General features: G+C 43.9%; 1 protein-coding gene across 6 annotated transcripts in view, besides 2 other annotated features; it reads right to left on the bottom strand.

The window, feature by feature from the left end:
* The window catches only part of SENP5 (SUMO specific peptidase 5), a 66,795-nt gene extending 51,206 nt beyond the window's left edge, over positions 1–15,589 (bottom strand). For all 6 annotated transcript variants that reach the window (NM_152699.5, XM_005269310.4, NM_001308045.2 and 3 more), the window contains exon 1: positions 15,436–15,589. The gene's annotated coding sequence lies outside the window, so the exon portion shown is untranslated. The remainder of the gene's footprint in view (positions 1–15,435) is intronic.
* Positions 14,080–14,581: an enhancer, noted in NCBI's record as "H3K4me1 hESC enhancer chr3:196595799-196596300 (GRCh37/hg19 assembly coordinates)". NCBI's record gives its function as "activates a minimal SCP1, AML or CMV promoter by ChIP-STARR-seq in primed H9 embryonic stem cells {active_cell/tissue: H9 hESC(primed)}" and the evidence as "EXISTENCE:reporter gene assay evidence [ECO:0000049][PMID:30033119]".
* Positions 15,233–15,812: a silencer, noted in NCBI's record as "silent region_15073". NCBI's record gives its function as "represses an Ori minimal core promoter by ATAC-STARR-seq in GM12878 lymphoblastoid cells {active_cell/tissue: GM12878}" and the evidence as "EXISTENCE:reporter gene assay evidence [ECO:0000049][PMID:35858748]".

Here is a 21,497-nt window from a genome sequence, read left to right as displayed (position 1 = left end):
GATGACCCAGGATAGTCCAGTATATCATGTACAGCTGAGCACAGGGGTATACCAGGAGGATAAATGAGTTTACACCGTGAATTCCCCTCCAGGCCCTTCCCCACTCAGCTTCCATAAGACTGGCAAGAAGCTCTATACCCACAAGAAGGCGACTAGTCCCTGGGGGAAAACAGATCATTCACGGAGAAAAAACCAACAGATAGTGATATTTGGGGATGTCACAACAAAATAAGTCTGAACAATGACTCAATAGGGTGGCCTAAAGTTTAAGAAGCAGTTAGACTCCAGATCCCTACTTAACTCCACATGGCAGGTAAGTGACCCTCCCCCACCCAAGATTGGAAGTTTATCCTTTAGATAAAATAGTGAAATGTAAAATGCAAAAAAGAGTAAAATGGAAAGTCTGCAGACACAGGGACTCCAGGCATAATTTGAAGATGGAATTATATACTGCATATGAGACTCCGAACACACTTTGCCACTCATCTCCCAGAATGCTAGCAGTCTGTCTCACCCATACAAGCAGACTGAAGATTCTTTTCTGGAGACTATAACTAGTCCACCAAAAAAAAAAAAAAAATCCATAAAGATACAGATATTACCCCACAAAATGGCCCACAGTGTACCCCAAAGTTGACACATTCCACCATGTGTTAAGAGTTCCCAAGCAGTTTCTTAGTGGTCATTATTAAAAACAACTAGACGGGCTGGGCATGGTGGCTCACGCCTGTAATCCCAATACTTCGGGAGGCCAAGGTGGGCAGAGCACTTGAGGTCAGGAGTTCGAGACCAGCCTGGCCAACATGGCAAAACCCCATCTCTATTAAAAATACAAAAATTAGCTGGGCATGGTGGTGCATGCCTGTAATCCCAGCTACTTGGGAGGCTGAGGCACAGGAATTGCCTGAACCTGGGAGGCAGAGGTTGTGGTGAACTGAGATCGCACCACTGCAGTCTAGCCTGGGCGACAGAGCAAGACTCTGTCTCAAAAAAATAAAATAAAAAATAAAGGATGACCAAGAATCACCAGATGTCTAGGGATAAAAACAGACCAAAACAAACAGATAAAAGCAAAAACTATATAAAGTCAACTTTTATAAACCAACAGGGAGGGGGAGAAAAGGGAGTTATTGCTTAATGGGTACAGAATTTCAGTTTGGGAAGATAAAAAGGTTCCTGGAGATGAATGGTGGTGATGGTTGCACAGCAATGCGAATGTACTTTAATGCCAATGAACTGTACACCTAAAAATGGTCAAAATAGTAAATTTTATGTTATGTATATTTTACCACAATTAAAAAAAAAGAGGGGGCTGAGTGTGGTGGCTCACACCTATAATCCCAGCACTTTGGGAGGCCAAGACAGGCGGATCACTTGAGGTCAGGAGTTCGAGACCAACCTGGCCAACAAGGTAAAACCCCAACCCTACTAAAAATACAAAAAAATTAGCCAGGTGTGGTGGCACGTGCTTGTAATCCCAGCTACTCGGGAGGCTGAGACACGAGAATTGCTTGAACCTGGGAGTTCTGAAGGCTGCAGTGAGCCAAAATTGAGCCACTGCACTCCAGCCTGGGTGACAGACCAAGACTGTCTCAAAAAAAAAAAAAAAAAACTAATACTATCTCAAAGAAGCAAAAGCAAATATTACATCCATTGAAAAAAAAGAACAGGGTGTTATTCTTTTTCTAAAGGAATGGCCAAAAACAAGAAAGGGGTCTTGAAAATTAAAAATAATAGCAGAAATTAAAAACTCAATTAAGCTTGGAAGTTAAAAAAAATAATAAATGAACAAAATGAAAAGACAGCTGATAAATTAGAAAAAAATATTTGCAACATGTATCATAAAGGCCTAATATCCCTAATATATAGACCTCTTAAATTAAGAGATAACTGAAAAAAAGCCTAATGGAAAATAGGAAAAATACATAAGGAGACAATTTACAAATAAAGCTTTTTAAATGTTCCTTAAGCTTAAGAAAGATGTCCAAATTCATTTATAAGACAATTGGCAAAAATTATAACACATTCTCTTGGTGGGGAAGAAGGGCCTTTCCACACTTTGTTAGGAGGACTACAAATTGATCCAATCTTTTTGGAGGGTAATCTGGTAACATTTAATAACTACAAAAGTATTTACCTTTTAATCCAGCAACCCCACTTTAAGGAATTTACCTGAAGACATGCCTACAATAATACAAATATACACATGTACAAGGCTATTCATTGCAGCATTGTTTATAATAGCAAAATATTAAAAACAACCAGCAGGGAACTGTGGCTCAGCCTACAATCTCACACTTTGGGAGGCTGAGATGGGTGGACTGTTTGAGCCCAGGAGTTTGAGACCACTCTGGGCAACATGATGAAACCCCATCTCTACAAAGAAATATAAAAATTAGCCAAGTGTGGTGGCATGTGCCTGTGGTCCCAGCTACTCAGAAGGCTGAGGTGGGTGGATCAACTGAGCCCAGGAGTTTGTGGTTGCAGTGAGCTGAGATTGCACCATGGCACTCTAGCCTGGGCAACAGAGTGATGTCCTATCTCAAAAAAAAAATAAAAAAGGAAAAGGGCCAGGCGCGGTGGCTCATGCCTGTAATCCCAACACTTTGGGAGGCCGAGGTGGGCAGATCACCTGAGGTCGCGAGTTCGAGACCAGTCTGGCCAACACGGTGAAACCCTGTCTCTACTAAAAATACAAACATTAGCCGGGCACGGTGGCACATACCTGTAATCCAGCTACTCGGGAGACTGAGGCAGGAGAATTGCTTGAACCCAGGAGGCGCAGGTGACAGTGAGCCGAAATCACGCCATTGCACTCCAGCCTGGGGTACAAAAGCAAAACTCCGTCTCAAAAAAAAAAAAAAAAAAAAGAATAACTGGCTAATACTCTTCAATCACATCAGTCAAAGTCCTGAAAGACAAAGACAGACTGTCCTAGAATGAAAGACTGAGATTAAGGAGACGACAATTAAACAAGGTATAATCCTGGATTGAGTCTCAGTTCAGAAAAAGAAAAGTCATGTGACAACTGACAAAATTGGAATAAGGTGTGCAGATCAGTTAGCAGTATTCTCTCAACGTTAATTGCCTGGCCTTGACAATGTGCTGCAGTTCTATAACATTGGAGAGGCCAGGTACAGTGGTGCACACCTGTAGACCCACCTACGTGGGAGGCGGAGACAGAAGGATTGTTTGAGCCCAAGAGTTCAAGATCAGCCTGGGCAACATAGCAAGACTCTGTCTCCTTAAAAAAACTGAAGTAAGGTTGGGCACAGTGGCTCATGCCTGTGATCCCAGCACTTTGGGAGGCTGAGGTGGGTGGATCAACTAAGGTCAGGAGTTCAAGACCAGCCTGGCCAACATAGAGAAACCCTGTCTCTACCAAAAATACAAAAATTAGCCAGGCACGGTGGCATGAACCTGTAATCCCAGCTACTCGGGAGGCTGAGGCAGGAGAATCACTTGAACCCAGGAGGCAGAAGTTGCAGTGAGCCGAGATCACGCCACTGCACTCCAGCCTGGGCAACAGAGTGAGACCATGTCTTCAAACAAACAAAAAAAACTGAAACAAAACTTCGGAGCAAAGCTAGGTGAAGCATATAGAAAAACTGTAATATTTTGCAATTTTTTTCGGTAAATTTGAAGTTATTTCGAAGTTAAAAGTAAAACATTAAAACATTTAAAATTTTGAGCAATCTCCCAGAAAGTACCACAAAATGACAGACTGAAACTAACATAACAACTAACAAAAAAGGTTTACAGAGATGTAAGTTATCAAAATATTTACCTCCCATGCATCCTTCTCAGAGAGTCACAGGAGAAGGTACTCTGGCAAATATGGGAGTAAGTCAAGAATACACAGGATGCAGGAAATGAGATCCAAAAACAAGAGTCAGGCAAAAAGAATACTAAAGATAACAGTAAAAATAGATGCAGAATGACAATGTGCCTTAAGCCTGGAGGGCCACCAATCCAGAAGGGAGCGGTCAAAAGTCAGTCAAAAGGCTCCAAGAATGTGATCCTGATAGAATTTCTAAAGTGTATGAAAGCAAATAAAGGAGAAACAGACAACCAGAAGAGAGTTTGCAGTTAGTAGTAGGTACAGAGAACACTAAACAAAAGATAAAGACAATTAATTTCAGGGACAACAGAAAAATGTACAAGAAAGGGAAAACAGTGGTTGTAAACCTTGGTATACTACATGGCTTAACTATGACTACCATTTACATAATAGTAATAAGCTAAACACTGATCTAACCCAGTGCTTCTCAACCAGATACTCCATACCACCTCAACCTAACATTTGGAAATGTGTGGGAAATTCTTGGTTGCTGTAATACATTCAGGTTGGTATTGACATTTACCGCTGGGGTCCAAGGATACTAAGTATCATGCAATAAACACAACAATGAAGAATTATCTCACCTGGAATGGTAATACTGCCCCTTATAGCATCCCTATAGTGGGAAGATACAGTGGTATCTTGGAGGGAAGATAAGAAGTATGCAAGTACACAGACGTGGGGAACAGATGTAAAAAAGAACAATCTTCATCTTCAAGTCAACAGATAAAGCATAAACTAAGTAATCACAAGTTACATTATAAAAAGGTAATTTAGGCCGGGCATGGTGGCTCATGCCTGTACTACCAGCACTTTGGGAGGCCGAGGCAAGCGGATCATTTGAGGTCAGGAGTTCGAGACCAGCCTGGCCAACGTGGTGAAACCTTGTCTCTACTAAAAATACAAAAATGAGCCAGACATGGTGGCGGGCACCTATAATCTCAGCTACTCGGGAGGCTGAGGCAGGAGAGTCACTTGAACCCGAGAGACGGAGATTGCAGTGAGCGGAGATCATGCCACCGTACTCTGGCCTGGGTGACAGGAAGACTCCATCTCATAAAATATAAAAATAAAAAGGTAATTTAAAGACATGTTGTTTATACCAAAACAATACCTCAAAGACTTGAAAGAGGCTGCTTTTGGTGAATGGGAAACAGCAGAAAGGGGCAAGATTCTGAGAACTATGTCAGGAAAAAAAGCTAGAGGTTTCTACCTTCAGCATATAGATTTCCACTATAAGGCACAGTACCTTATCCTTAACTATGCATGGTATCCCTCAGTCCAGATAATAATCGTTTTCTACTCCAGATAGTAAGTCTCTAGTTACCCTATTTATGTCTACGGGGAGAAGAAAGGGAGGTCAGGAGTGGAAACTTTTCTGAAACAGACTTTCAAACAACTCCTCATATTTTCTGTCCCACCTCCACCTCCACAGTACAGGACACAGCTAATCTTGAGACTTTTAAAGGGTTTGGTAACATAACATGACTATTTGAAGGCTCTCTCCACTGTTGGTTTAGGATACAGCTTTCTCAAGTTGGCGAATTAGTTGCCATTAGTCTTTTCTGCTTTCCAGCTTTCACGATATTGTTGTTATTCTCATTGTTCCTGTTCTTTGTTATCTAGAGGGTTTTTAAGTCCTCCATTGTTTTAATGAAATTTTCAGGCTGGCATAAAATTAAACGTATATATTCAATCCACCACCTTTACCATGATACACTGCTGAATGGAAAAAATGAAGTTGCTGACCAATATGTACCAGCCCACTTTTGTTAAAAGGAAAAATATATGCATATGCTTGAATGTTTGGAGAAAAATGTCTAAAAGCATATACACCAAACTATCAAAAGTTTAGGATCACAGTTCCCAAACTGTGCCCAAGGCAACCTGGGATTCTGTAGAGAACTCACGAGAGCACAACAGGAAATTCTAAATTACAGGGAAAAAGTAATCTTCTATACTTGTCAAACACCTTATAAACTACTAGTTCAAGACAGTTCAGCTTCAAAATAGATCACACTATGTTCCTTTTGATGATATCATAATCTTTGCAAAGCTGAGTATCTATTGGTTGCTGTGATTTAAAAAAAAATACTGTGCAAATATCAATTTAGAGCAAAAAATGAGTGGAGAAAACAAAGATGTAAACAAATGTTATTTATTTTTTAAAATAGCGAGATAGTGGCCGGGCACGGTGGCGCACACCTGTAAGCACAGCACTTTTGAAGGTCGAGCAGGGCAGATCACCTGAGGTCAGGAGTTCCAGACCAGCCTGGCCAACATGGTGAAACCCTGTCTCTTACTAAAAATACAAAACTTAGCCGTGTGTGGTGGTGGGCACCAGTAATGGCCAGCTTCTCAGGAGCCTGAGGCAGAAGAATCGCTTCAACCAGGGAGTGGAGGCTGCAGTGAGCCAAGATCATGCCACTGCACTCCAGCCTGGGTGACACAGTGAGACTCCATCTCTAAATAAATATTTAAAATTAAAAATTAAAAAAAATAAAATAAGGTAGTAAGATGGGGTCTCACTATGTTGCCCAGACTGGTCTTGAACTCCTGGCCTCAAACGATCTTCCCACCTCAACCTCCCAAAGTGCTGGGATTATAGGCATGAGCCTCCATGCCCAGCCAAAAGCAAATTTGTTTTAATTAAAAAGTAAGCAATGTGGGTGGCAGAGTCCAATATGATTCCACGGTTTGGGTTTTGTAGTGCCCAACAAGTATATACGGTAAATAACTGTGGTTATTTAAGAATGAAATCAAAATGTAATTTTGTCTTTCTCTTTCTTATTTTTTTGAGAGTGTCTCACTCTGTCACCCAGGCTGGAGTGCACTGGTGCAATCAGAGCTCGCCCCAACTTTCCAGGCTCCAGCAATCCTCCCTCAGCCTCCTGAGTAGCTGGGACTACAGCAGACACACACCACCACGCCTGGCAATTTTTTTTTTTTTTTTTGTAGAAATACGGTCTATGTTGCCCAGACTGGTCTTAAACTCCTGGACTCAAGTGATCCGCCCACCGAAAGAGCTGAGATTATAGACACGAGCCATCACATCTATCTGACTTTGTCTTCCAATTTGTGTATTTCTTAGATGTCAATTAGGTTGAAAGAACATAAATACTTTTTTCTTTTCTTTTTTTTTTTTTTTTTGAGACAGAATCTCGCTCTGTCGCCCAGGCTGGAGTGCAGTGGCGCAATCTCGGCTCACTGCAAGCTCCGCCTCCCGGGTTCACGCCATTCTCCTGCCTCAGCCTAGCTGGGACTATAGACGCCCGCCACCAGGCCCGGCTAATTTTTTTTGTATTTTTAGTAGAGAAGGGGTTTCACTGTGTTAGCAAGGATAGTCTCGATCTCTTGACCTCATGATCCGCCTGCTGGAATTACAGGCGTGAGCCACAGCGCCTGGCCCATAAATACTTCTTAAGCTGTCTGAACCTAATTATTTAATAAATCAAACTGTTAAGCTTAGGGACATGTAAAAAATATATTAAGGAGGGTGTAAACAGAGAAAGTTTGGGAACCTCTAGTTTAGAATATCATATTTTACTTTATCAGTGGAAAAATCACTTCTATATAAACAAACTTCTTAATATGAAATAAACATGTAATTCAAATAAACGCTTACTATGGTATACTGCCAATATTGGCCAGGCATGGTGGCTTATGCCTGTAATCCCAGCACTTTGGGAGGCAGAGGTGGAGTATCGCTTGAGCCCAGGATTTCAAGATCACCTGCCTGGGCAACACAGGGAGATCCTGTCTCCAAAAAAAATAGCCAAAAGTGGTGGTACATGCCTGTGTTCCCATCTACTCAGGAGGGTGAGGTGGAAGGATCGCTTGGGCATGGGAGGTCAAAGTTTCACTGAGCTATGATCACACCACTGTACTCTAGTTTGGGTGACAGAGCAAGACCCTGTCTCAAAAAAATAAAAAAATAAAATAAAAATTAAAAAAAGTCAAATTCAGGGTACAATGGAAATATCTGGCAAAAGGGTCAGGAAACACCTCTCTGAAGAAATTATTTTTTCTCTGAAGAAATTATTTTTCAGCTGAGACAAATGATGAGCAAGAGTTCCTAGGAAAGAGAGGGAATTCAGTATTTCAAGGAATGGAAAGAACTTCAGTAACACTTAGAGGCACGGAAGGGGTAGATGAGGAACAGAAGAGCTAAATTCACGATGCTGACACTTAACATAAGGTTGGTGTGAAGCCACTGAAAGACAAAGATCTGATTCATATTCTTGAAAAAAATCATTCTACCTGCAATGTGCAGAATGGCAAGGAGAAGGCCACAGCAGAAGAAACCCATTAGGAATCTGTTACAGGTAAATCAATGCAGATACAGTGGGACAGCTTCTTGGATTAAGAGAAAAACTGGGAGGATGTAGCAAAGTGAATCAATCTTCAGGACACAGAAATGACAGGACTTGTCATTTGTCAAAAGCCTATCTGTTGGGGGTAAATGTTCCAGTATCAGCTACTAGGTAGATAGTGGTATCACTGATACGAAACACAGACGGAGATCGATTAGGGGAAGGTTATACTGACTATGCCTTTAGTCTTTCACATGTTCAATTTGAGATGACCATTAGAAGTCCAAGTGGATATATACAGCTAGATATACAGTTCAAGAATTCTGAAAAGAGGACATCATGTGAATTCCAGTTTTCAGCTTAGAGTAACCAAAGCTATAGAAAATGATAAGATCACCTAGAAAGAATTTGTAAAAGGTAGAAGAGAATGAGAGAATGTACCCTAGGGCAATAGCCCAAGGAACTCTAGGAATTTTTTTTTTTTTCCCACTCTTGTTGCCCAGGCTGGAGTACAATGGCACGATCTCAGCTCACTGCAACCTCCGCCTCCCGGGTTCAAGCAATTCTCCTGCCTCAGGCTCCCAAGTGGCTGGGATTACAGGCATGCGCCACCACGCCCAGCCAATTTTGTATTTTTAGTAGAGACCGGGTTTCTCCATGTTGGTCAGGCTGGTCTCGACCTCTGACCTCAGGTGATCCACCCAACTCAGCCTCCCAAAGTGCTGGGATTACAGGTGTGCCCAGCTGGAACTCCAGGATTTAAGAAATAAAGAAAGACTAAGCAAAGGAAAGTGAAAAAAAATGACCAGGGAGATAAGGTCAAAAATCAGGTAAAGGTGGTATCAGCAAAGCTAGAACAGGTTTCTAAAAAGAGGGAAATGGTCAGTTAAAGGTTGTTGAGAAGTCGAGCAAGATAAGGATTAAAAGTGTTCACTGAATTCTCTTGACATTTGCAGGAGAAATTTTAGTACAATGGAAAGGACAAAAACCAAGGTGGAACAAAAAAGGCGATATATAAAAATTGTTCAAGAAGCCTGGGTAAAGCTCAAACATTTTTTTAGTGGAGATTCTTATACATGTTTAAATTCTGATGAAGCACTTTACTTCTGGATAAAGACTGCAGATTAAGCAGACACATTTTACCATCATTCCCTCTTAAAACTTCATTAAGAATAAAAAAATTGTCCTTTATCTTTTTTTTTTTTTAAAAAAAAAAGGTCTCATTCTGTCAGCCATGGCTCACTGAAGCCCCAAACTCCCAGGCTCAATCAAGTAATCCTCCTGACTTAGCCTTCTGAGTACCTAAGATTACAGGTGTGAGCCAATAAATTAATTTTTTAAAAGAAAAAACCAGCCAGGCACCATGGTGCATGTCTATAATCCCAGCTACTCAAGAGGCTGAGGCAGAAGGATCCTTTGAGGTCAAGAATTTGAGACCAACCTGGGCAACACAGCAAGACCCATTCCTAAATAACTAATTAAAATTAAATTATGTTTTTTGTTTTGTTTTGTTTTTTGAGATGGAGTCTCACTATGTCACCCAGGCTATAGTGCAGTGGCACATCTCAGCTCACTGCAAGCTCCGCCTCCCAGGTTCAAGGATTCTCCTGCCTCAGCCTCCCGAGTAGCTGGGACTTCAGGCGCCCGCCACCACACCCGGCTAATTTTTTGTATTTTTAGTAGAGATGGGGTTTCACCGTGTTAGCCAGGATGGTCTTGATCTCCTGACCTCGCAATCCACCCGCCTCAGACTCCCAAAGTGCTGGGATTACAGGCGTGAGCCACCACGCCCGGCTGCCAAGAATTTTTTAACTTAATTTTTTAAAGATATAATTTACCTACAGTGAAATACATAAACCTGAAGGGCTTTTGTTTTTTTAAAGCATATGTACACAAAATGGAACACCGAACAACAGCAAAAACATTTTGAAAGTTGGAATGTGGATTGACTTAAAGATCTAAAGACGTTAAGTCTCGGCTGGGGCCGGGCGCGGTGGCTCACGCCTGTAATCCCAGCACTTTGGGAGGCCGAGGCAGGCGAATCACCTGAGGTCAGGAGTTCAAGACCAGCCTGACCAACATGGAGAAACCCCGTCTCTACTAAAATACAAACATTAGCCGGGCATGGTGGCATGTGCCTGTAATCTCAGCTACTTGGGAGGCTGAGGCAGGACAATTGCTTGAACCTGGGAGGTGGAGGTTGCAGTGAGCCAAGTTCACGCCACTGCACTCCAGCCTGGGCAACAGAGCGAGACTCCGTCTCCAAAAAAAAAAAAAAAAAAAAAGTTAAATCTCAAGCTTGCAGGGAGGAAAGCAATCTAAAGAACAATACCTCAAAACAGGTCAGGAATTGTTCTACAGAGGGATGTGAATATGAATATGACGCTAAAAATAAAAGGATTGGTCAAATGATTTAAATATCCTCCCACATGCCACAAAACCAGCCAACTGTCCCCTACCCATCCTTGCAGACACCTGGAGTCTTCTTCTCTAGACTAGAACAGCACAGCCCAATAAAATTTCTGCAATGACAGAAATATTCTATATCTGCTCTGCCCAATACGGTAGCCTCTGGGCAAATGTGGCCATTGAGCACTTGAAACATGTCTAGTGCAAGTGAGGAACTAAACCTTTAATTTTAATTATTTAGATTTAGGCTGCTACATGTGGCTAGTGGCTACCACACTGGATAGTGCAGCTCCGCTATCCAATATGGTAGCCACTAACCACACGTAGCAGCTTAAAACAATCCTATGTAAAAACAAAGAATTCCTGGACTGGAAAGCTTTTCAACTGGTCCAGTTGAGAATGAGGTCATCTTACTGAAAATAGTTGAGTTAAATGAACAAGAATGAGTGTTTACATAACGAATACTAAGACCTCCAGCCTTTCCCTAAGTATAGAAGCCAGACTGCTGGAAGCCCAATTTGTACTCTCCAAGTAGGAGATCCCTTCTTCTTTAGGGAATCTGACCCTGGAGCAAAGACAAGATACTGCCATTGAAGGTTCTTGAATACAACGGTCCAGTAATTAAAAGCAAACTTCACATGCGTTTCCTTTACATTTCTGCCCCTGTATTCCCAGCCATGCTGCTGTATGTTCATACTGACCAAATATCAACATTCCTTCAAAGATAAAACACGCACACAAGGGAAATAGAAGGTTTACACTCTTACTAGATACTCACCGACCCTAGGACAGCCCCAAGCCTAAACAGCCCCTTAAGGAGCCCAATATTTGGGTGAAAGTTCACAGCGCAGCCACCGTACAGGTTAACTGAAGCTTCACTACGAAAAAGTTATATCGGCCAAGTGTGGTGGCTCACGCCTGTAATCCCAGCACTTTGGGAGGCCAAGGCGGGCAGACTGCTTAAATCAATCTGCATTCCAGCTTCCAAAATGTTTTGCTATTTTTCTGTCTTCCATTTTGTGTACATATGCTTTAAAAAATAAAAACCCTTAAGGTCTATGTATTTGACTGTATTTTTTTTTTTTTTTTTGGAGATGGAGTCTCACTGTGTCACCCAGGCTGGAGTGCAGTGACCTGATCTCGACTCACTGCAACCTCCACCTCCCAGGTTCAAGAGATTCTCCTGCCTCAGCCTCCTGAGTAGCTAGGAGTACGAGTGTGTGCCACCATGCCCAGCTAATTTTTGTATTTTTAGTAGAGATGGGGTCTCATTATGTTGGCTGGTCTCAAACTCCTGACCTCAGGTGATCAACCCACCTCGGCCTCCCTAAGTGCTGGGATTACAGGCATGAGCCACTGCACCAGGCCGTAAATTATATCTTTACAAAATTAAGTTAAAAAATTCTTGAAAATTTTAGTCTCAAGTAGTTTCAGAGTCAGAAGACTGCCTCAAGAGCCAGCAAGTGACTTCTAACCTTCAATTTTTGCCAGCTCCCTAGAGCTGCTTTGTTTCAATGTTAACTCTGCAGTATCAGTTTAGATTGAAACTGTAACCCTGGGTTCATACTAACCCTTCACATGTACCTCTACTTGTCTCCTGTCAGAATGTGAAATTCAACAACAACTAAAACTTCAGAATTAAGGTATTCCAGACACAAAAATAAAATTTTAGAGATTCAGCTATTTGGTTTCTCAGATACATACCAGGTCTCTCTAGACTCTGAATGTATTAGACAACCTATGTGTTACCATCACTTGTTTTTTGTTTTTTTTTCTGAGACAGAGTCTCACCCTGTTGCCAAAGCTGGAATGCAATGGTGCAACCTCGGCTCACTGCAACCTCTACCTCATGGGTTCAAACGATTCTCCTGCCTCAGCCTCCCGAGTAGCTGGGATTATAGGCGCCCGCCACCATGCCCAGCTAATTTTTTTGTATTTTCAGTACAGACGGAGTTTCACCATGTTGGCCAGGCTGTTCTCTAACTCCTGACTCGTGATCCACCCGCCTCGGCCTCCCAAAGTGCTGGGATTACAGGCATGAGCCACCGCACCAAGCCAACATGACTTTTTAAATCACTGACTTTAGGATATCCTTTGTCATCTGGTTGTAGAAAATCAACATGCTGCTGACCGGATACAGTGGCTCACACCTGTAATCCCCGCGCTTTGGGAGGCTGAGACGGAGAGATCACTTGAGGTCAGGAGTTCAAGACCAGCCTGGCCAACATGGTGAAACCCCATCTCTACTAAAAATACAAAAATTAGCCGGGCGTGGTGGTGGGCGCTTGTAATCCCAGCTACTTGGGAGGCTGAGACAGGACAATCACTTGAACCCGGGAGGCGGAAGTTGCAGTGAGCAGAGATCAAGCTGTTGCCCTCCAGCCTGCACAAGAGTGAAACTCTGTCTCAAAAGAAAAAAAAAGAAAATCAACATGCTATAAACATGATCATTTTAGAGAAAAAATAATTTAGTATATTTGGAGAATCTGTGATGTAGGGTCCATTTCCGGCTCTACTAATAATAGAGTAGGAATTGCTAAAGCAATAAGAAGGCTACCAAAGAATAATTGGAGAATGAATATATTTCCCTAAAAGAGAAAGTTCAACGCAGCCTGATGGCCTATTTACCTTAATTTTGAAAATATTACCCACGCCCAAAAAAAGTCACAAGGGTTTCACCATAATAGGTAAGAAAAATACATGTAAAGCACTGTGACCACCTTACCAGTTGACCCTTTCTGAGCGTCTACCAAATTCTTTAAATCAGTGACAGAGTACAATCTAACCAAGAAAAGAAAAAGGAACTAAAAATTCGCAAAGACATGCTTAATATCGCAAATGCCAAGGTGATCTACTTCAATCAGATGTTTGGCAACTAGAGAAGCACAGAACCCCGTTCTCAAACTGAGCTCCATAGGAAGCTGGCTAATAACACAAAGTAAATGGCCATGCATGCCAGGATGAAGGAGGCAGAAAGGCAGGCCTGTGTATAGAGCACTGGGTTTATGACAAGCTAGAATAAAAGCAAAATATTGTTAAATTTCAATTTTTCTATGATTTTTGAAGGATTCACATAATGGCCTACCAAAAAAAAAAAAAAAGGCTGATTTAGAAAGTAATATAGCCCAGGCGCAGTGACTCACTCCTGTAATCCCAGCACCTTTTTTTTTTTTTTTTTTTTTTTTTGAGACGGAGTTTTGCTCTTGTTGCCCAGGCTGGAGTGTAATGGCACTATCTCAGCTCACCACAACCTCGCCTCCCGGGTTCAAGCTAGTCTCCTGCCTCAGCCTTCCGAGTAGCTGGGATTACAGGCATGCGCCACCACGCCTGGCTAATTTTGTATTTTTAGTAGAGATGGGGTTTCACCATGTTGGTTAGGCTGATCTCGAACTCCCGACCTCAGGTGATCTGCCCGCCTCGGCCTCCCAAAGTGCTGGGATTACAGGCGTCAACCACCGCGCCCGGCTGATCCCAGCACTTTTGAGAGGCGGAAGCAGGTAGATCACTTGAGGTCAGGAGGTCGAGACCAGCCTGGCCAACATGGTGAAACCCCATGTCTACTAAAAATACAAAAATTAGCCGGGCGCGATGGCGGGCACCTGTAATCCCAGCTACTCTGGAGGCTGAGGCAGGAGAATCGCTTGAACCTGGGAGGAGGAGGTTGCAGTGAGCTGAAAAGATCGCGCCACTGCACTCCAGGCTGGGTGTCAGAGTGAGACCCTGTCCCCCCTCCAAAAAAAAATTGTGAGCCCAGGTGTAAATGAAGCCCCCCTCCCCAGCACCCTCCTCTACATACCAAGCTTTTCTCCTAGAAAAGATGCACTGGGAAAAAGCTATCTTGAGTAAAGATCAAAACTGATATAAGCCATCCCTCATATACCAATAATATGCCATCAATAAGCGTGAGACATGTGGATGGCTAGGAGAGAGTCTGGTTTCTTCCTGATGCTGCCCACCCAAAACAGAGACTGCAGTTAGGCTCTGACCACACGAGCGCCTGGCATCTCTAGGCAACCTTTTCCATACCAAGCTTAGTTATTCCGGGCAAAATGCAAAAAAAAAACATAAGTAGGAACCTATCATGAAGTGTCCTGGATATTCTTAAATTAAATTTAACCAGATTCTCAAAACATTTCATAACTAACGTCTGCTTTCTTCATTTAATTCTCCAAACATTATAATTTACATTGGTAGAAGAAAGTCCCACTTTACCTGCGGTGAAAAAGGTCGAAATGTCTATCTAGCATGAGATGAAAAACACTACCAGAGAGCAGGGTAGGATTTCACCTCGGCTATTCTCGCTCTAAGTCCAAAACTCCCACATCCTCTCCGCATCCCTCCACCCCGACAGAGTGGCCACAGGGCGTAGAGCGGAGGCTGATACCGCTCAGAGCAGACCGAAGGGAAAAGACGTCTCCCACCGCGCTCATGCCCAACCGGGCTCTCTGGAAAAGGGTCCCGGGGAGCGCGAGGAAAGAAACGAAGGCCGGAAGGAGGCAGAGCGGTCTAAGCAAATAAAAACCCCGGACTTCCACGGCGGCCGGAGCTGGAGGCCTGTGACAGCGGCTCCTCCTCTCAGAGCTTTCCCGGCTTCAGGAGGAGCTGGGGGGCGCCAGCTTCCCGGTGCCTGCGACGCACAGCCCGGCTGGAGCGAGAGCGCAGGGCAGCGGCCCCTCGGGACGAGCTCGCTCGCCTCCCCCGGAAAGGGAGGCTGTGGCCGAGACGGACGGCGGCCTCCAGCTCGGGCGGGGGAGGGCGGCTCGAGGCCTCCGGACCGGGCGCTGAGGTGGCGCACCGGCGCGGGAATGGCCCCAGCCAGCCCCGCCAGGCGATCGCTGAGTCCGTCACTCGTCTGCCCGCGTCCCCGCTTACCTGCTACCCTCGTTCCTGGCAGCTGCCCCGCCGCCGGCCCCGTCGCGGCAGCAGCCTGGACCGCGGACCCCGCCTTCGTCAGCTCCAAGGGAAGCCCCGCCAGCGACGAGGCGTCCGGCCTGTTCGCCGCGGCCACAGCCGCCGAGCTTCCTCTGAAGCGGCTGCCGCGACGCCGGCGCTGGCCTATCGCGTCACCTCCTCCGCGCCCTTCCGCCTGCGAGGCTGGGCCTGGCACCGCCCGCTTCCGGCGCTCCCGCCCCGCCTCCCGACCCGGGGCCGCCCCGCCCCCGCCCGTCACCGCGTCCTTAGCCCCGGCCTCCCTCAGAACGCGCTGGGATGGGAACCGCGTTCAGGAGCTGCTAAGCGCGTTTGAGACTTCAGCCCCTTCTCCAGCTTTTAACCTAAAAGGGCTAAATCAGACCGCAGCTAGTGTACACCCCTACCCTCCGCTGATCCCGTCACCCCTGCGCCGAAAGCAAAAGACCCATTCCAGCTCTGGACGTTGTGAGGCCTGGCCCAGGCGTCCGCTCTCTGGTTTTCCTATTGATCTTACCCCTGGTATTGTGATTGGCCTCTTTATCTATGTCTTACCCGCCCCAACTGTGAATGCTTTCCAAAATTATAAGCCGATGTCCTGACAGGCAAAAACATAATAATAGCAGATTTATGGCGGAAGATGAGTTCAGTTTTGAACATACTCGATCTGGAAGAATAAAGTGGAGGTGACTGCAATGGAAAACCAACAGTGCGTTGCTGAGAGCCTGTGTAGGCAGTAAGGATATGCATTGATGGTGGAGAAGATAAAAACAATACCGAAGCCAACTGCAGGATGGTTTGCTTTTAATTATCATCATGTGTCAGAAAATTCTAAACAATGTTAATGAAAAAGTACTCCTTTCCAAACAAAAGCTTTGTTTAGTCTTAGTTCTAAGCAATGGCTGCAATTACTGTTGATTTTTTTTTCTTTTTTCTTTTCTTTTTTTTTTTTTTCCAAACAGGGTCTTGCTGTCTCGCCCAAGCCGGAGTGCCGTGGCACACCCTAGGCTCGCTGTAACCTCTGCCTCCTGGGCTCAAGCGATCCTCCCACCTCATCTTCCAGGGTACCTGCGACCACAGGCTCCTGCACCACGCCCGGCTAATTTTTTATTACTATTACTATCATTATTTTTGTAGCGATGACATCTCCCTATGTTGCCCAGGCTGGTCTTGAACCCCTGAGCTCAAGTGATCCTCCCACCTGGGCCTCCCACAGTGCTCGAATTACAGGCGTGAACCACCACACCAGGCCCTCTCACTTCTTTTTAACAGTTTCTCTTTGTCAGTGATTTTTTTTTTTTTTTTAGAGGAGTGTCGCTCTGTCGCCCAGGCTGCAGTGCAGTGGCGCCATCTCGGCTCACTGCAAGCTCTGCCTCCCGGGTTCACGCCATTCTCCTGCCTCAGCCTCCTGAGTAGCTGGGACTACAGGCGTCCACCACCACGCTTGGCTAATTTTTTTTGTATTTCTTTAGTAGAGACCGGGTTTCACCAAGTTAGCCAGGATAATCTCGATCTCCTGACCTCGTGATCTGCCCGCCTCAGCCCCCCAAAGTGCTGGGATTACAGGCGTGAGCCACCGCACCCAGCCTGTTAGTGATTTTTAGCCATTTATTTTGTGCCCTATCTTTGTTTTCTTTGTATTTATCTGTCTTGGATATCATTGAGTTTCTCTGATTTGTGGGTAGATGTCTTGCATCAGTTTTGAGAAATTCTCAATCATTATCTCTTCAGATATGGTTTTTGCTGCATTCTCTATGCCTGTTCTCCGAGACACCAATTACATATGTAAGATTATTATTATTATTATTGAGACAGAGTTTCACTCTTTTTGCTCAAGCTGGAGTGCAGTGGCGCAATCTCGTCTCACTGCAACCTCTGCCTCTGCCTCCCGGGTTCAAGCGATAATCCTGCCTCAGCAGTATTATCTACTGAGGTAGATAATACTATTATAATAGTATTATTATCGAGTAGCCAGAATTACAAGCGCCCACCACCACGCCCGGCTAATTTTTGTATTTTTAGTAGAGATAGGGTTTCACCATGTTGGTCAGGCCGGTCTTCAACTCCTGACCTCCGGTGATCCACCTGCCTCAGCCTCCCAAAGTGCTGGGATTACAGGCATGAGCCACGGCACCCAGCCCATATGTAAGATTATTTGATCTTGTTCACCGTGTCTTTTACACTTTGTGATGTCAATTTTTTTTTCAATTATTCAGTTTGAAGGTTTTCTGTTTTTCAGGTTATTGAGTCTATCTTCTATAATCTCCAATCTGCTGTTAAATCTATACATTGAGTTCTTAATTTTAAATATTAGATTTTCAGGTTTTGTTTTTTTTTGTTGTTGTTGTTTGTTTTTTTTTTTTGAGGCCAAGCTTCGCCCTTGTTGCCCAGGCTGGAGTACAATGGCGCAATCTCGGCTCACTGCAACCTCTGCCTCCCAGGTTCAAGTGATTCTGCCTCAGCCTCCCAAGTAGCTGGTATTACAGGTGACCGCCACCACACCCAGCTAATTTTTGTATTTTTAGAAGAGATAGAGTTTCACCATGTTGGCCAGGCTGGTCTCAAACCCCTGACCTCGTGATCCACCCATCTCAGCCTTCCAAAGTGCTGGGATTACAGGCGTGAGCCACTGCATCTGGCCTGTTGTTACCATCCTTATATCCACGAATACTCATTATTTAGCTTCTACTTATAACTGAGAGCATGTAGCATTTGGATTTTTGTTCCTGCATTATTTCACTTAGGATAACAGCCTCAAGCTACATTCATATTTCAGCAAAAGACATGACTTCATACTTTTTATGGCTGTGAAGTATTCCATAGCGTGTTTGTACATTTTCTTTATCCAGTCCACCATCGATGGGCACCGAGGTTGACTCCATGTCATTGCTATTGTGAACAGTGCTGCAATGAACATACAAATGCATGTGTTTTTTTGGTAGGATAATTTATTTTCTTTTGGATGTATACCCAGTAATGGGATTGCTGGATCAAATGGTAGTTCTGTTTTAAGTTATTTAAGAAATCTCCAGGCCGGGCACAGTGGATCACGCCTGTAATCCCAGCACTTTGGGAGGCCGAGTGGAGCAGATCACCTTAGGTCAGGAGTTTGAGACCAGCCTGGCCAACATGGTGAAACCCTGTCTCTACTAAAAACACAAAAATTAGCTGGGTGTGGTGGTGGGTGACCGTAATCCCAGCTACTCTGGAGGCTGAGGCAGGAGAATTGCCTGACCCTGGGAGGCAGAAGTTGCAGTGAGCCGAGATCGTACCACTGCACTCCAGCATGCGTGACAGAGCAAGACTCTGTCTTGAAGAAAAAAAAAAGAAAAGAAATCTCCAAACTGCTTTCCACAGTAACTGAACTAATTTACATTTTCACCAACAGAGTATAAGTGTTCCCATTTCTCTGCAGCCTCAACAGCATGTTATTTTTTGGCTTTTTAATAATAGCTATTCCGACTGGTGTGAGATGGTATCTAATTGTGATTTTCATTTGCTTTTCTCTGATGATTAGTGATGTTGAGCATTTTTTTATATGTTTGTGGGCCACTTGTATGTCTTCTTTTGAGAAGTTCCTATTTATGTGTTTTGCCCATTTTATTTTATTTATTTATTTATATATTTATTTATTTACATGGAGTCTTACTGTATTGCCCAGGCTGGAGTGCAATGGCACAATCTTGGCTCACTGCACCCTCTATGTCCTGGGTTCAAGCAATTCTCCTGCCTAAGCCTCCCAAGTAGCTGGGATTACAGGCGCACACCACCACGCCTGGCTACTTTTTGTATTTTTAATAGAGTTGGGGTTTCACCATGTTGGACAGGCTGGTCTTGAACTCCCAACCTCGTAATCTGCCCTCCTTGGGCTCCAAAAGTTCTGGGATTACAGGTGTGAGCCGCCTCTCCCAGCCATTTGCCCATTTTTAATGGGGATATTTGTTTCTTGTTTGTTCAGTTAAGTTCCTTATAGATTCTGATATTGAACCTTTGTTGGATGCATAAATTATGAATATTTTCTCCCATTGTAAGTTGTCTGTTTACTCTGTTGATAGGTTCTTTTGCTGTGCAGAAGTTCTTTGCTTTAATTAGGTCCCATTTGTCAAGTTTTGGTTTTGTTGCAATTGCTTTTGAGGATTTAGTCATAAATTATTTCCCAAAGCCAATGTCCAGAATGGTGTTTCCCAGGATTTCTTCTACGATTCTTATAGCTTGAAGGGTTACATTTAAATTCTCAATTTGTTTTGAGTTAATTTTAATATACGGTGAAAAGTGGGGCTCCAGTTTTATTCTTTTGCATATAGCTAGCCAACTATCTTAGCACAATTTATTGAATACAGTGTTCTTTCCCCTTTGCTTGTTATTATCAACCTTGCCAAAGATCAGATGACCATAGGTGTTGTTTTTTTTTTAACCAATACCATGCTGTTTTGGTTACTGTAGCCTTGTAGTATAGCTTGAAGTCCAGTAATGTGATGCCTCTGGCTTTATTCTTTCCACTTAGGATTGCTTTCGCTATTCAGAGTCTTTCTGATTCCATGTAGATTTTAGAATAATTTTTTCTAGTTCCTTGAAAAATGACGTTGGTAGTGACAGGTGAAGCCAGCTGGACTTCCTGGGTTGAGTGGGGACTTGGAGAACTTTTCTGTCTTTAAAGAGGATTGTAAAATGCACCAATCGGCACTCTGTAAAAATGCGCCAATCAATGCTTTGTAGCTAGCAAGAGAATTGTAAAATGCACCAATCAGTGCTCTGTAAAACGCACCAATCAGCGCTCTGTAGCTAGCAAGCAGATTGTAAAATGCACCAATCAGCGCTCTGTAAAACGCACCAATCAGCACGCTGTAGCTAGCAAGAGGATTGTAAAATGCACCAATCAGCACTCTGTAAAACACACCAATCAGCATGCTGTAAAATGCACCAATCAGTGTTCTGTAAAATGCACCAATCAGCAGGATCCTAAAAGTAGCCAATTGCAGGGAGGATTGAAAAAAGTGCACTCTGGGCTGGGCGGTGGCTCACTGTATAATCTTAGCACTTTGGGAGGCCGAAGTGGGCGGATCAGAAGGTCAGGAGATCAAGACCATCCTGGCTAACATGGTGAAACCCCATCTCTACTAAAAATACAAAAAATTATTCAGCATCATACTTAATGGGGGCACCATAAAAGTGCTCCCAAACTTGAAGTCAAGAACAAAAGCAGTTTATCCATTTTTACAGCTATTACTTAATATTTTTCTGGATGTGTTAGCCAATATAATTTGACAAGAGGTAGAATATAGAGACAGAGAAATCAGAATGGAGGAAAAATTATTATTTTCAGATCAAAATAACTGTATACTTGGAAAACACAAAGGATTTTATTCAGAAATTACACACCAAATGCTGGTGAGAATGAAAAGCAATAGGAAGGGCCATTCATTGTTGGTGGGAATGCAAAATGGTATACAGCCAGTTTGGAAGAGAGTTGGCAGTTCCTTAGAAAACTAAACATGCTCTTACCACACAATCCAGCAGTCGAGCTCCTTGATATTTATCCAAATGAACTAAAAACTCAGGTCTGCACAAAAGCCTGTACATGAGGCCAGGCGTGGTGGCTCACGCCTGTAATCCCAGCACTTTGGGAGGCTGAGGCAGGCGGATCACAAGGTCAGGAGATTGAGACTATCCTGGCTAACATGGTGAAACCCCATCTCTACTAAAAATACAAAAAATTAGCCGGGCGTGGTGGCAGGTGCCTGTAGTCCCAGCTACTCGGGAGGCTGAGGCAGGAGAATGGCGTGAATCCGGGAGGCGGAGCTTGCAGTGAGCCAAGATCGTGCCACTGCCCTCCAGCCTGGGGGACAGAGTGAGACTCCGTCTCAAAAAAAAAAGAAAGGCACTTTGATAGGACAGAAATGGAACATGGGAGGGCCAATAAGGGAATAAAAGCTGGCCATCCACAGCCAGCAGTGGCAACCCGCTCGGGTCCCCTGCCACGATGTGGAAGCTTTGTTCTTTCACTGTTCAAAATAAATCTTGCTGCT

Source organism: Homo sapiens, chromosome 3 (genome assembly GCF_000001405.40).
Source record: "Homo sapiens chromosome 3, GRCh38.p14 Primary Assembly".
In the NCBI taxonomy this organism is placed as follows: domain Eukaryota; kingdom Metazoa; phylum Chordata; class Mammalia; order Primates; family Hominidae; genus Homo; species Homo sapiens.
The sequence above is the reverse complement of the archived record's forward strand: the minus strand, read 5'-3'. Positions and strand labels throughout refer to the sequence as shown.